The sequence below is a fragment of the Homo sapiens genome, chromosome 4, assembly GCF_000001405.40.
Source record: "Homo sapiens chromosome 4, GRCh38.p14 Primary Assembly".
Classification (NCBI taxonomy): domain Eukaryota; kingdom Metazoa; phylum Chordata; class Mammalia; order Primates; family Hominidae; genus Homo; species Homo sapiens.
This window is the reverse complement of record NC_000004.12, coordinates 151684831-151700127: the sequence shown is the minus strand read 5'-3', so window position 1 is coordinate 151700127 and position 15297 is coordinate 151684831. Positions and strand designations below refer to the sequence as shown.

The 15297-nt window shown below is 46.1% G+C and overlaps 1 protein-coding gene across 2 annotated transcripts in view, besides 2 other annotated features; it reads left to right on the top strand.

Annotated features, from left to right (window-relative positions):
* The window catches only part of GATB (glutamyl-tRNA amidotransferase subunit B), a 90504-nt gene that overhangs the window by 60880 nt on the left and 14327 nt on the right, over window positions 1–15297 (top strand). For both annotated transcript variants that reach the window (NM_001363341.2, NM_004564.3), the window contains exon 10: window positions 11365–11498. In NM_001363341.2, the coding sequence (NP_001350270.1) occupies window positions 11365–11498 (134 nt within the window). The remainder of the gene's footprint in view (window positions 1–11364; window positions 11499–15297) is intronic.
* Window positions 11665–12165: an enhancer, noted in NCBI's record as "NANOG-H3K4me1 hESC enhancer chr4:152609115-152609615 (GRCh37/hg19 assembly coordinates)". NCBI's record gives its function as "activates a minimal SCP1, AML or CMV promoter by ChIP-STARR-seq in naive H9 embryonic stem cells {active_cell/tissue: H9 hESC(naive)}" and the evidence as "EXISTENCE:reporter gene assay evidence [ECO:0000049][PMID:30033119]".
* Window positions 12166–12666: an enhancer, noted in NCBI's record as "NANOG-H3K4me1 hESC enhancer chr4:152608614-152609114 (GRCh37/hg19 assembly coordinates)". NCBI's record gives its function as "activates a minimal SCP1, AML or CMV promoter by ChIP-STARR-seq in naive H9 embryonic stem cells {active_cell/tissue: H9 hESC(naive)}" and the evidence as "EXISTENCE:reporter gene assay evidence [ECO:0000049][PMID:30033119]".

The window sequence follows — 15297 nt, the reverse complement described above, 5'->3', positions numbered from 1 at the left end:
TACAATTCATGTATTTTTCCTAGGTTGACGTAACAAAACTACGTTTTAGTCTTATACATCTTCCCCACCATCTTGACCACTTGAGTTTCCAACCTACTTGAAATAAACACTGAATTCTAGCCCTACCTTTTATTACTATTTGTGAAATTACATAGGAGATGGGAGGAAGGGACCAAGGCTACTCAGCCTCGAAGATTTAAGTTACCTCCCTCCACTCAGCAGGAGCCCAAGCCAACCCTTTGAGGTAGTGTATGATGAACCAAGAAATGGCCAAGGTTTCCTTGCTCAAAATGTGATTTCATAGAGAAATTGACTATATATAACATTAATTTGTGTGTGTGTGTGTGTGTATTAGCTGTCTCCATAAGAGAGTGAAAGAAACTTTCAGAATCTCAAGAATACAGCTGTTTCTGTTCAAGGCACTGTATGAGAATCTGTGCCCCCTTCAGAGGGCATTTCCATAGGATTGTCACTCTCGGCCGTTCATGAGCGGTGATGGGGACAGTGCCTGCCTTACCTCACTGAGCATAAGCTCCATGAGGGCAGGGACATTTTTGTATTTGTGTTTGTGTCCTTGTCTTTATTCATGGGTCCTGCATGGTGCCCAAACCTAGTAGGCCTTAAATAGGTGTTTGCTAGGGGCTGGCAGATGAGTGAGTCTATATTTTAATAGTTTAAAGGCCTGTATAGGGAAACCTACCTTCAGTTATTTAATTCAGCACTTTTTTTTTTTTTTTTTTGAGACAGGGTCTCAACTCTCGCCCAGGCTGGAGTGCAGTGGCACGATCTCAGCTCACTGCAACCTCTGCCTCCCAGATTCAAGACATCCTCCCACCTCAGCCTCCCGAGTAGCTGGGATTCCAGGCATGCGCCACCACTCCTGGCTAATTTTTTGTATTTTTAGTAGAGACAGGGTTTTGCCATGTTGGCCAGGCTGGTTGAACTCCTGGCCTCAAGTGATCCGCCTGCCTCTGCCTCCCAAAGTGCTGGGATTACAGGTGTGAGCCACCACACCCGGCCTGGTTCAGCACTTTTATTAGCATCTTCTGTATAGCACGTACTGAGACAGAAACAAAAGATTTTTTTAAAGATTTTTTTTGCCTTCCAAGAATTTATACATACACATGCACACACACACACACCCCACTACAATAACCAGCCCACAGGACAGATTACACTAGATAGATGGATAATGTAGGATCAGGGCCCACAAGAGGTAGTGGTTAACTTGATTGGAAAAAAAAAAAGAAGGGTGAATTTTTTGGCCATTTTTGAAAGGACTTTTTTTGATACCTTAAAAACGTCCTTATTTTTATGGCTTGCAGATAATGTATTGGGTGATTAGTATTTTTCCTTTAAAGGGCTAGTACTTGAAATTTCCAAGATGAGTGAGATTAGAATGAGATAGGAATGGAAAGAGAATGATTCAGACAAATTGTTTTCCTGAAATTAGGCAGCCTGAGCCCTTTATGACTTTGTAATCATTGGAAGCGGCGTTACTCATAACATACCCGAAAATGATATGTTCGTGTTTTTTCCTGCCTTCATCAGAAACACAACAGATTGCTGAGAAGGGCAGATGCACAAATCTAATGAACCATCTTTCAATTTAAAGAGCGCCCAGGAGTATTCATTAAATAAATAGCAGTGGTGGAGGTGTGCTTTGCAGAGCTGCAACTCTGTGCTCTCTGTCTTTGGATTGCTTATTAAATTAAGCATTATGCACATGCCCACCCCCATGCACACCTCACCCACAAATGACGAAAAACTTCAGAATTTAACTCTAGTCTTTAATTTATCTTGTCATTTTATCGTGCAGTGAGCACCAAATTATTCTTAATATTTACAGAACTCTAATGTTATGCTTTAGCGTCTACCACACACAATACCTGACACGGTAGGTACTCCATGACTGGGTGGACAGACGGGTGAGTGAATGGGATGTTATCACAGCACACAGGAAGATCCTGGGAGAAGCAGTGTTCCTGATAAAAGCATCCCTGTTTCCAAAGGTCAGATACATAAACCATGCTTTGACAACCCAGAGAATCATGGGGTATCTTGCCCCACCTAAAACTTCAACCTATTTAGCTAACCTTGCTTCTCTAGCTTATGTCAAGTTGCCTTCATTTCATATATATATATATATATATATATATATATATATATATATACACACACACACACACATATATATGAAATCGATTTTTGTTTGTTTGTTTGTTTTTGAGACGGAGTCTCGCTTTGTGGCCTAGGCTGGAGTGCAGTGGCGCCATCTTGGCTCACTGCAAGCTCCGCCTCCCAGGTTCACGCCATTCTCCTGCCTCAGCCTCCCAAGTAGCTGGGACAGAAATCAAGGCAACTTGATTTTGTGCATGTGTATGTATATAAATATATATATCAAGGCAACTTGACATAAGCTAGAGAAGCAATGTTAGCTTTTCTATATATATAAATTTATATATATTATAAAACATATACGGAAATATTTATGATTATAAAATTTATTATAATATAAATGTAGGGGCTACAAGTGCAATTTTGATACATAGATATATTGCATAGTGTAAGTCTGGACTTACAGTGTAACCGTCACCCAAATCATATACATCATACCCAGTAAGTATTTGTCATCCCTTATTCCCCTCCCACCCTTCCAAGTCTTCAGTGTCTGTTATTCCACACTCTGTGTCCCTGGGTACACAGAGTGTACCCACTTATAAGTGAGAACATGTGGTATTTGATTTTCTGTTTCAGTGTCGTTTCACTTAAAATAGTGGCCTCCTGTTCATCCATGTTGCAAAAGACATGATTCCATTCTTTTTTATAGCTGAATAATATTTCATTGTGTAGATATACCACAACTTCTTTATCCAGTCATCCATTGATGGACGCTTACGCTGATTCCATATCTTTACTATTGTGAATAGTGCTGTGATAAACATTCGCTTGCAGGTATCTTTTTTAAATGATGATTTATTTTCCTTTGGCTAGTTGCCCAGTAGTGGGATTGCTGGATTGAATGGTAGCTCTATTTGTAGTTCTTTAGGGAACCTCCATACTGTTTTCCATAGAGGCTGTACTAATTTACATTCCCAGCAACAGTATATAAGCATTTCCTTTTCTCTACATGACCTCATTTGTAAAGATTAAAGAATAGAAATGTTGAAGCTGAAATCCAGGCATTAGGATTCTGAAAAAACGAGAGATTCTAATAGCATAACAAGTTTTTCTCTGAGTCAGTATATCAGTAGTAGTTATTATAATACAATGATCAGAATTATATGCATGTGCATTTTTCTTAGCAAAATCCTCCCTGGCTGATTTCTGTGGGGCATCTCTTCCTAAACTCTGTGCTTTACTTCACTCAGAGAACACAAAAGCATTGTAGCCATTTGCCTAAGCAGCCTAGAAAAGGCTGCCTGCTTCTAGCATGCTCTGCAATTCACATTGTACGACTTTTTAATCTATCCTTACAGCAACCCTCTGAGGCAGGGACTGCTGCTCTCCCCATTTACAGGTAGGGAAATGTAACCTCTTTGGTTCAATAACTTCCCCAAGCCCGTATTGGAGCCACATTCAGATCATGCTGACTTCAAGGCCTACGCTCTTCATTCCTAAGCTCTGCTGCCCGCTTGCATATATAATGTGCTATAATGTCAAACAGAAATAGTGTTTTTAGTTAATTGATGTTTGGAGTCACTTGTGTTTCATTAGTGGAGAAAACAGAGTTTGTACTTTTGTTAACATTCATGCCACTAGCGTTTTGTACAGCACAATCACAGAACATAGATTCATTTAAAAGTTTTTACCACTCCTATTGATTTTTAAGATGCCAGACTGCCCTATAAATAAACATAAAGTGCCATCCACTAAATTTAGTGAAAATCAGTCAACGCCAATGAAAAGCAGAAATCATGTCTATTTTCCAAGTGAAAAAATAAAGTTAGAAGAAAAGTAATATAAGCCGTCCTCTGCAGCTTTATTTATTTTGTTTCTTAAACCTTCTGCTGGAAGCACTTGAGTCCTGTCTGAATCGTTGGGAAGTTCCAGGCACGGTGACTCACACCTGTAATCCCAGCACTCTGGGAGGCCAAGGTGAGAGGATCACTTTTGGCCAGGATTTCGAGACCAGTTTGGGCAACAACGTAGTGTAGTGAGACCCCTATCTCTACAAAAAAAAAAAAAAAAAAAAAATTTAAATTAGCCGGGCATGGTGGCACACACCTGTAGTCCCAGCTACTCGGGAGGCTGAGGTGGGAGAATTGCTCGAGCCCAGAAATTCAAGGCTGTAGCGAGCTGTGGTCGTGCCACTGCAGTCCAGCCTGGGCAACAGAGAGAGACCCTGTCTCTAAACTTTAAAAAAAGAAAAAAGAATCTGAGGAGTGTCTCCACGTAGGGCAGAGTTTGTGGCATTTGTGGTTTGATTTTGCCTGGTGCCTCCTGTCCTTCAAGACTGGCCTTTAATAGGAACTTGGTAGGAAGCAGAGATGAGCTTGCAGGGCCCTGGCTGTGCATGCAGTCAGTAGACGGGAAGATCTGAAGCTCGTCGGTGGGAGAGTTCAGCGGAGGAAGCCAGAGCATCCCGAGTTGAGTGTTTCTTGAGGGCCTGCCACCCTGACTGCAGTGCCGGATGCTAGTTCCAAATGTCAGTGCTTCAGCTTTTCCATGTCTCTCCAGAGCAGCCCTACAGGGAATTGAGTTAAAACACTGACTTGGGGACAGACACCCTTGATTCCACATCTGACCTCTGACACTTTGGAGCTGGGAGGGCTCTGCAGGGTAACCAGAGCTGTTTCCCTCCCCAGCTGAAAGAGGGGGCGATGACTCACTTACCCCAAAGATGACAGACACAGCCAAATCTTCATTGAATCTAAAGCCTAAATATAGCCAAGCAGACTCCCAAGAATATGTCGCCAGGGAGAAGAGTGTTGACACCAAGCAACGCGCTAAAACAGTTCATTGAGAGCCACGAAAGGCAGGGCTGTAGAAACATCCCACATGGCCCCAGTGAGACTGTAGGAAGATGTACTTGCGAGCCCTCGAATCAGCACCCTGGGCTGCCATATGCTTGTCTTTGTCTTTATAGTCAGCCTCAGGATCTGTCATCTTACTTACACAACTTCATTCTCTCCAGCTGGTTCTTCCACTTTTAAAATCATAATCCTTTGTTTCTGACATCATGGAAAAGGTTAAGGTGTCTCCAAGGGACAAAGAAACAGAAAAGATATCATGACTACAGCTGGTTGTTAAGTGGATTGTTTTTCAAGAATTTTCCTTTAAGTGGCTAGTAAGCCAGAAATGACCAGGTTTGCTTTCTGGATGAATTGCCTATAAAATAATTTCCCATGATAAATATCTATATATCCCATATGTAATACTACTTTAAAGCTAATAGTATCTACAAACATATTGACTGGTTTTAGACTGGCCAGACTTACTGAGGTGCAAAGTACTCACCTTCTAACTACTGTTGAAGGAAAATCTATTTGGTCAACATCATCAGGCACCATATTTCAGCTCCGTGCAATTTTCAAAATTGATTTTATTCTTCATTTTATAAAAATTGCATCCAGTGCTTGCTAGCCTAAGGGTGCTTTTACAGTGACTCTATACACTAGAAAAATAACCAATGTTTTGTTCTGGTAAAGTTGAATAAAAAGATGTATCATCTAACTCTACTTCTGTAAAACCAGCAGTTCATTTCTTTTGGATGCAAGGGATGAGGAGCTTTCAGAGGGGAAGATGCTCTGGGCTCAGAGCCGTGTGACACCTCAGGATCCTGCCCAGTAGGGAGACAGTGCAGGGAGGAGTAAAGTCCTGAGTGCCAGCCTTGGGGACCCACAGGGATTCTGTCCCCAACCTATCCCAAAGCCCAATTTCCTGTGGAATAATTTCCTTTTCAGGATAAATATATATTATTTCAGGTTTCAGGCAGATCTTGGAGGAAAGGAGCAAATCCTCACTGCCTCTGTTGCTGTTTTTAAGCTGCAGCCAGAAAGCTCCTATTGAGCAACTCAGGTTCCTTCCATGTGGGGACGATTGGACAGTGGTGGTGTTAGGTGCGTTGGAACGTGACTACAATTGGAATTGATTTCTTGACAACACACTGCCTGTGTCCCATTCGTGCAGATAGTCTTTTAGCAGTGCCGGTCTGCTGTCAGCTTGTAGTACCTGAATTATTTGGATTTTGATTATTCGGGGGAAGTTGTTATTCCCAAACTGGTTTCCTTCAGCATCTCCCCTGGAGTTACTGCATCTCAGAGGATGTAAAGTCATTTTCACATTAGTTTGAATATCCCCTAAATGGAACTGGTGCCTGAGTTGAACTCAAGATCTGTCTACTTTCCAGCTTTCCTGGGAACATAGCACAAGTGAAATGGTTGGGGCCAAAGTTTTGCTCAGATTTTAGGGGCTCCCAAGCCTTGCTGGGGAAATGACCCAGGAATAAAAATTGTGGGCACCAAAACAGGACCCTGGACCCCTAGTTCTGTGTTCCTTGGGAGAACACACCCGTGATGTTTGTGGGTCCATTTCAGAGCCTCTGCAGATCCCTGTATTCTTGCCAGCAGCAGTGGAGGTTCTGCATTGTTCTAGCTTTCTCCTGACACTCTTGAGGGGGGGGTCGTGTTTCCTGTGCCAGCCTCACACCACCAGTTAACTTCTGTTTGTTTTCTCCACTGACGAGGCCTCTCTCAATGAGTAATTTTTCTGTTCACAGGAGCACTCGCTGAAAGATTATTGCAGCGGCTTCTTGTTTCTGTGAAAAGCAGAAGGGGCACCGATTCCCGTGAACCCACCCAAGCCACCGCCCCACTGAACATTCCAGTCCTTAGCCTTGCCCTGACGCCTGCTTTCTGGCTGAGAGCCATCACTGTCCTGGGCCTCTTTGCTTCATTGCCATCCCCAGCACTAGCATTTGGTGTTATTTTCAGGGCCATTTTTTTTTTTACATAGCTGTTGTATTTGAGTTTTGTTTTTCTCACTTTATAAGAATGACCAAATCCACAGGAATAATAAAGCAGCAGTGCCTGCGTTGATACGCAGGTGATGAGCCTCCTCCAGCGTCTGCACAAATGCTCAGCAGCTGCTCACCCCAGCACCCCCGCCGCAAAGGGGACGGATGCAATTCCAGTGTGCGCCTCTGCAAAATGACACACTGTGACGTGGGAGAGCCTTGTCCAGTGGAAACCCCTGTGGTTCCGTCTGCAGATGTAGAGCCTTTGTATAGTCAGCAGCTCCCATCACAGGCATGACCTGCTCAATTAGGTAGGACTTACCCTATTAGAGGAATTAGAATGCAATAATAAATAAAATACAATATGCTCAATTGGTATGAGAAATAACAAGATTTGTCTTGTTCAGGACTGTGCAGTGTCCAGGTCTGGGTGTGCTCGCAGGACCTTTTCTGGGGCAGCAGTAGCGTGGGGAGGGGATGCAGAGGCAAGGCAGGGGGCAGGAGAGGGGCAGAGGAGCTCTGGCCGCCCTCCATCCCCGGAGCCCAGTATGGCCTGTGCAGTGGGCGTGCAGCTGTCTTCCTTCCTGGTCTGGGAACAGGTGTGTGTCATGCCACAGCTGAATGCCACGTGGCCTAGGTGTACACTGGCAAAGGCAGAAAGTAAACCTGCCATTTTCTCCTTCTGATTTCAAAGTTAATTTCCTTGCAACATTTTTAATATGTTAAGAACCTTTGAACAGCTGGCAGCTCTCAAATAAAATAATGGAAGTGTGGGAAAGTGCTTTCTTCAGATGAGCTGGCTGCCTCCCATTGCGCCTGGCACTCCTAGGTGCTCAGTTTCGGTCCCAGGCAGGCAAAGACCATGACCTTTTCTTCCTCAAAGGCAGTGCCACACAGAGGTTAAAAGCACAAACCGCAGAGGTTTGGTCCTAGTTCTAGTGCTCTCTTGCTGTGGGACCTCAAGCAAGCTAGTGCCTCGTGTCCTCATCTGTAAAAGTCCTGAGAGCGCTGAGCTCAGAGAGTTGTTGTTGGGATGAATTGAGGTAATGTGGAGAGAGTGCGTAGACAGTGCCTGGCGCCCATCACCGCTGCTGCTGTAACTCTGGTTATCACTGTCCTCAGCAGCAGCAGTAGCCTCACGCAGCCACCCACAGGGCCTGGTTCTGAGCTCTGTGTCTAGCAGATATTTAGCAGATACTCTTGAGCACCTTTGACTAGCCCAGAATGGCTCATCTGGGGGTCCCTTGTAGCTGTCAGAACGCTCCCTGTCACATAACCAGCTGTTCCTCAACTTGCATTCTTCTGGGCTGCTTTTCCTTCTCTGAGTCTGCCACTGGGCAGCTGGCTCTATCAGGTTTCCTTCTCGTAAATAAATATAGTCCACCTCGTTCCTGGCCTATCGTCAGCTTCACAGGGTGTGTGACTTAGAACAAGAAATGCAGTTGAGAAATCAGCCTTCATCCTATTCCAACTGGAGAGTCTTCCAGCATTTGCATTTGATCATCTCTGAAGGTGGGATGCAGAAGACCGCTTCGAGGCAGGTTGCTCCCAGGGCCTAGTGCAGGGTAGACTGAGGTTCCTTCCCTGAGCAGGCAGTGGTGGTGAGCAGGTCCCTCTGCTTTGCCTCACACCAGCATTGATCACCTGACAAATCATTAGTAATCAAGGGTTCCTGTTAATGTCTGAGAGGCGGAGCCAGCACTGGTTCTGGGTGTAATTCAGTGCTTTGGGAAATCTGATTAAAATGTGAAAAAGATGCTTCCCAGTCATAGAGCTGTAGAGACTGTCAGGTATTATACAAAAGACAGGACCGCTCATGCCTGCTGCTTTAGCCATCTCTGAAGGAACAATTAGAGTCGCAGTCAGCCAGGGAACTTGACTCTCTGTGTCGCTGAAGTTGCAGTTCTATTGCATGTAGGGTAGATTCATCCTGAGTCGAATGCTTGCTTGTTGCTTTTGAGGAGGACATTAAAGGTTCCCTAATGCTGTAGCCTTTCTGCATTGCTCTTCATATGATTTTTATGTAAGGGAATTACCAGCTCACTGTTTTTCTGAGAAAACCAGATGGCTGCACTGACATGTTCACCAGAGACTCTGAGATTCGTGCCAAGCTTATTAGCATTTGCCAATCTCATGGAAAAACTAAGAAGATGAGGAAACTAGAATGTGTGTGTTTCTTCCCTCAGAAGCAGCTTCTGCTATGAAGAGCAGAGCGGGCAGCCCATGTGCAGCTTTTATTGATCCATCATTTCCTGGGTGGCTGCAGCTCAGCCTCCTTCAGCCCCACTCGCTATAGCTCACCCCATCACCACCACAGATTTTCCTGTCTGCTTTAAATTGTGGACTGAAACTATGTATCCCCTAGTGAAGTACAGTTCCAGCTCAGAGAGGCTTCATCACAGCACTGACATGAAAAGACAAACAGAAATCTGACTTGCCGTGTTATCCATCCAATAAAAAAACCACCCAAGGGTAGAGGAATAGATATGCATCACGTCCCAGCAACTCAGCCAAGCCTGTGAGTTTAAGTGCAATATTTCTAGGTGGATTTAGAAAACCCTTTCCCTGGCAAAGCAAAGAGTTCTCCTGACAGCTCATTTTACCAGTGGGCCAGCCTGTCTGGGTTAGAACAAAGGGAATTCTGCCCGTCTGATTTGGGCCAGATAGCAGTTTTCTGCTTCCCCAGTGATTTGTGTACTATTGTAGAAGTTTGAATACTTTTCCATAAGTTAAGCAGAACTTCCTCTTCAAGTTGCCTGGCTCTGCCTTTATCTGTAGTCAAGCTTGGGCTGCCGAGGTGGCCTCTGCCCTGGTTTAGCATGAGCAGAATAATAGCACTGGCTTGAAAAGAGATTAAAGAGATGATTGCAGGATTATTCAGCAGGCTTGTCACCAGAGAATTTATCTGTTACAAAGAACATGTAGGGTTTTTTATTATTATGGAATTTCTGCTATGCCTGTGTGTGTATTCCAGCAGCTGCAATAGCTACACTTGGAGAGCACTTTTGTTAGTATATCTTGCTTCTTTCCAGTATCTCATTTTTTCCAGAAAATTCTTTTGGTTAATGAAGGGTCTCTGAAAGGAGCAGGGGTAGAAGCCTTAGGTGCAGTGTGAACTTAAAAGGAATATTTCAAGAAAAGTTTGTTTGATTTGAATTTCCATGGGTAAAGGAAATCTGCTACTTAAAACGTATATCCTCTGAATTTGGAAATTTCAGCCTTCCCTTTCTGAGCAGCACAGTTTTTATTTTTCTTATTGAAATAGTAGGGGTGGACTTACCTAAATTTCTTGATTGTGTCAAAACTATCTGAGCTGGCAGCAAGCTGTAGTATAGAACCTGGTAAGTGCCTCAGGGCTGGTCGTATGCATAGTTGTGGCAGTTGCAGTATTTAAAGGTGAACATGGTATGATAAGAATGCGCGCCTCATGTGTGATTTCCAACACACATACATGCTGACGGGAGACACCAATTCCGTCTGCTGATATTAGGTTGGTGCAAAAGTAATTGCGGTTCTTGCCATTGAAAGATGGCAAAACTGCAGTTACTTTTGCACCAACCTAATACTGAGCAGCTGCCATGGCCCAGCATGGACTTAGCTGTAGCTATATCGTGAACAGGGAGGGCACAGCCCTGACTCGTGGGGCTGACAGTTCAGAGGGGGAGAAGTGGTACAGTCTTGATGAAACAAGTCTCCAGCTGATCATTTCCCCAGGAAACGATGAGAGGCAGGGCATCTTGTACCTGGCCCAGCTCAGAAGGCTGGGACACTGCTGCCCTCTCCACCTGTTATTAAGTGGCCTAAGTGGGTCACATGTGCCCATGTTCTCCCTCACTTTGAAAACATTTCAGAACCATTCCTGTCTATTTCTTGTCATGATGTGAGAATCAGTACAGGTATGATCCACTTTTGATTTTTCAGAGGTAGAATATTCTGTTTGTTCTTTCTTGATTTTGCTTTGTTTTTTACCCTCTTTTCTAGCAATTACTGGGACTTCAGCAGAGGACAGGCCTGGAAAGAACAGGGGCATTAAAGTCAGGCCAAACATTTTAGGCCCAGTTCACAGCTCAGGGATGGAGAGTGCAGGTTACACACAGCAGACACGGAGAAAGCAAGTGGGTTTGGGGGATGTGGAATTTCACCATCCCTCTGGTCTGCAAAGTCAGGGCTCTCTAAAATGTGTTTATCCTTTTGAGAAAATGCTATGTAAATGCACAGTGACAGTAGTAGAATAGTTGTCATTAGCTGAAAGTGATCAGAATGTTCTGGTGACATCTCAGGGTTTAGCAAAGAAAAAGTGGCTGTCTCAGAGGAGGCAGAGGGGACAGTTTCAGATTTGCCTTCAGAATGCTGATCTTTCATTTTTGGGGAGGCTTTATGTAATTTTCTTTTTTTTTTTTTAACAGAACGAAGTCGGCCTACTGGAGTTCTTCCAAAATGTGATAAAAGAAACTAGGGCAGAGCCAAAAAAGGTGACTAGTTGGGTCCTCAACACTTTTCTGGGCTATTTAAAGCAACAGAACCTCGCTGTCAGTGAGAGGTGAGTGAGGTCTGGGATTTCTTTCTTCCTTTGTGATGAGCTCTGTCCAGAAGTGCTGGAAATAGGGCAGGTCCATTTTTTTGCTCCTGCTGTTCTCCCTCAGGATATCCTGACATGACACAAACATCCCCTGTGGACTCCACATTCTAAATATGTTCTCTAGCCCGTGTAAAAATGTATTTATTCCTTCAAATCTGTGACTGTGCACTGTGTCCTCTGCACTGTGTCAGAGGCTGGGGGCACAAAGATGAATGAGACAGACATTTACAAACTTGTGGAGGATACAGATCTGTAAGGAAACAGCCACCCCAGGGTGATCCTGTCATGCCAGAAGCATGCACGGGGTGCTGGGAATGCACAAAAAGGGGAGTTGAACAGAGGCTGGGGAACCAACCAGGGCTCCCCTCGGGAGGGGACGTTTGAGCCATGCCCTGAAGCATTAGGGGAGAGTCGCTCTGCAGTGGGAGGGACAGATCACGCAGACAAAGCAGAGTGCGAAGCTCAGAGAGCAGCAGCACAGCAGGCTCAGGAACGCCAGAAGCTGCAGGGGCCGGAGGCAGGCAGGTGGGAATGGTGGGGACAGAGCCGCGGAGATGACCAAGGGCCACCTGGAGAACTGTGTCTGCCTTTATCACCAGCTCTTGACAGCCATAGACTACAAGCTCATGCCAGTTTCACACTGCGGAAATGCAGTGTGTCTCACTCAACTCAGGCCACTATATTCCATAGACTGGGTGGCTTCAGCAACATGTCTTTCCCATGATTTTGGAGGTGGGGAAGGTCCAGGATCCGGGTGCCAGCTGATGCATTCCTGGGTGAAGCCCTCTGCCTGGCTCACAGATGTCCTCACATGACAGGCAGGAGTTGAGGGGTGAAACAGGAAGGGGGGAGGGAGAGAAGGCCCTCCAATCTCTTCTTATAGGATCCCCATTCCCACTATGGGGACCACACCCTCGTGACCTCTTCTAGACCTCATTACTCCTCCAGGGCCCCATCCCCTAAAACCATCGCGCTTCAATATAGGAATTTGGGGTGGGACACAAATATTCAGCGTCTGAGAGCAGACTAGAAGCAGGAATTCCATTTGGGAACCTCTTTCAGGAATGCGGATGAGAAATGCCCCAGGCCTGAGCCAAGGTGGCAGTGGCTGGGTTGAAGTGAGCTAGGCCAAGTTGAGAGCAATTATCTCAATTGGCAGAACTTCCAGATTTCTTGCTTGGGCAGAGGTGAAACAGAGGGCAGACTTTTTCAATGTAGGAGGAGCTAAAGGAAAAGGAATAAACTTTATAGGCCGGGGGTGAGGGAAGATGCCGTATTCCATTTCAGACGTGCTGACTTCGAGCTGCCTGCAGGACAGACATCACCCCCACGGGGCTAACCAGTAGGCAAGATCTATGAGTCTGCAGCTGATAAGATCTTGGGGAGGTTTGCAGTTGAGAGTTATCTCGTTGGTTCATTATTCAGCTCATGTTCACTTAGCCTCTGCTGTGTGCTAAGGTCTGTGCCCAGCATGAGAAGCGCAGTTCCTGGGACAGACACCAGCCCTGAATCAAAGCACAGGCAGCCTTGAAGCTGGTGGCTACAGTCAGTGACAGGGGTGCTCTGAGAGGGGAAGAAGGTAGCAGCTAAGCTAAGACCTGAGGAGAGGATGAGCAGGGACAGGCCAAGGCTGACAGGGAAAAGTGTTCCAGGCATGGGGAAAAGCACGTGGAGAAATCTGAGGTGAGTCTGGGCATGAGAGTTTGGGGAATCCAGGGACACAGCACAACGTAAGTGGAACATGGACTCAGCAGCATCTGTACTTGAAGCTGTTGGACAGATGAGAACTTTCAGGGAGGGTGCAGCGTGCCAGGGTGGCTGGGGAACGAACCTGAAGCTCTTTAGCCTTTAACTGGGAAGCGTGCACAGAGAAGGAAATGCAGGCGCGATGGCACAGAAGTAGAAGGAAAACCAGGAAACTGGGGGGTGGGGGGGGGGCGGGGCGGGGACTGGTGACACAGAAGCCAAGGGAGAGGCAAGTTTCAAGAAGGAAAGAATGGGCAGTAGGTGTCACTTTGGGGCATCAGAAAGAGAGTTCTCTGGGGGCACATAGGCAGGTGGCAGGGCCCTTGCAAGGTCCCGGGGCAGGGGGAGCCCAGGCTGGGTGGGTGTGTCATTGTCTCAGCAGCATCCCGGGGAGTGAAGACAGACAGATATTGACAAATAACTCCCAACAGTTGTTTGCCCAAATAAGTTAACTCTAGATGGTGTCAACTCCATGTTCAGCCACTGGATATGGATGCACACATCCATGTGTTAGTGTGGCCCGGGTGTTAGTTCCCTTCCCGACTCGGCTGCTCAGCTTGAATGAGTTCCCCCTCTGACCCTCAGTTTCCTCACTGTAAAATGAAAATGGCAGGACGTGCCTCAGAGAGCTTTTGAGGGAAAAAGTCACAGTGCCCGGCACGTTGTGGGCCTCGGTGTGAGCCACCTTCTCTTTGCCAGGGTGGTGTGCTGAATACCAGAGCACCTGCCACCCTCCTGAACTCTTGTGGCATCTGCTGCCTCTTTGTCTTTTTTTTGTTTTGTTTTGTTTTTTAGACAGAGTCTCGCCCTGTCACCCAGGCTAGAGTGCAGTGGCACAATCTCTGCCCACTGCAACCTCCACCTCCCAGTTTCAAGTGATTCTCAAGTCTCAGCCTCCTGAGTAGCTGAGATTACAAGCACCCGCCACCACACCCAGCTAATTTTTGTATTTTCTTTTTAGTAGAGACAGGGTTTCACCATGTTGGGCAGGCTGGTCTCGAACTCCTGATCTCAAGTGATCAGCCCGCCTTGGCCTCCCAAAGTGCTGGGATTACAGGCGTGAGCCACCGCGCCTCTTGGTCTTTCATCCCTGTCCTCCCGGGTTTGGCCTCTCCATTCAGAAATTCTGGTGTTGGTGCTGAAAATGTGTGGCTGTTCTGTGGAGGCAGGAGCCGTGCTGAAGAGTTTATGGATGGGATACAGCTCTACCAGAGTCTTCAAGGCTCAACAGGATTTGGTGAGGGAGAGGGCAGTGCCTACCTGGAGCCCAGGTGCAGGAACAGCAAAGAACTGGAATGATTGGGAAGGAGAGGAGCGTAGCTGGCAGGAGCAGAGGGTGGAAAGAGGCCAAGAGGTGTGGCTGTGTGCAGAGCCAGAGCTGAGCCGGAATAGGGAGCCTCTGGAACGTCAGGGGGATTCAGCCATGAACCCATCAGGTGCAGAGCCCCACTCTGCAGTGTGTGGGGGATGACCAGGACCCGGTTCTACCCCACAGGTGCTGTCAGCCTCCTGGGGAGGACTAGAACTTGTGCATCAGAATTTTAATTCAAGGCAGAATGGGATGCTTCCAGTGTTAGAACTAGACACAGTGCAGTGGGAACAGAGAGGAGGGAGATTCACACCAGCCAGAAGAGTCCAGGAAAGCTCCAAGAAGATGAGGTGTTTGCGCTTCTGGAGGAAATAGAAATTTCTTAGCTTTAAACTTAGTTTTTCTATGTTGTTGGTTAAAATGTACGGAATTGCTGAACTTTAGTCCTGGAAGAGAACTTAGGGATCTTCAGCTCTTTCATTTAGCAGACGAGGTGACGGAGGCCCTAGGAGATAAGGTGACTTGCCTCAGATGGCACAGCCACAAAGACTGGAAGCCAAGTCGCCTGGCTTGTGATCGGCTTCTGTATATGTTGGTCTGTGAAGTTAGGGGTTTAACAGTCATTTTGGTGGCCTCTAAAGGAGCTGAGAGATAAATTAGCCTGTTGAGTGGACCTGGAGCCCCTGGTATTTACCCAAGCAGTTT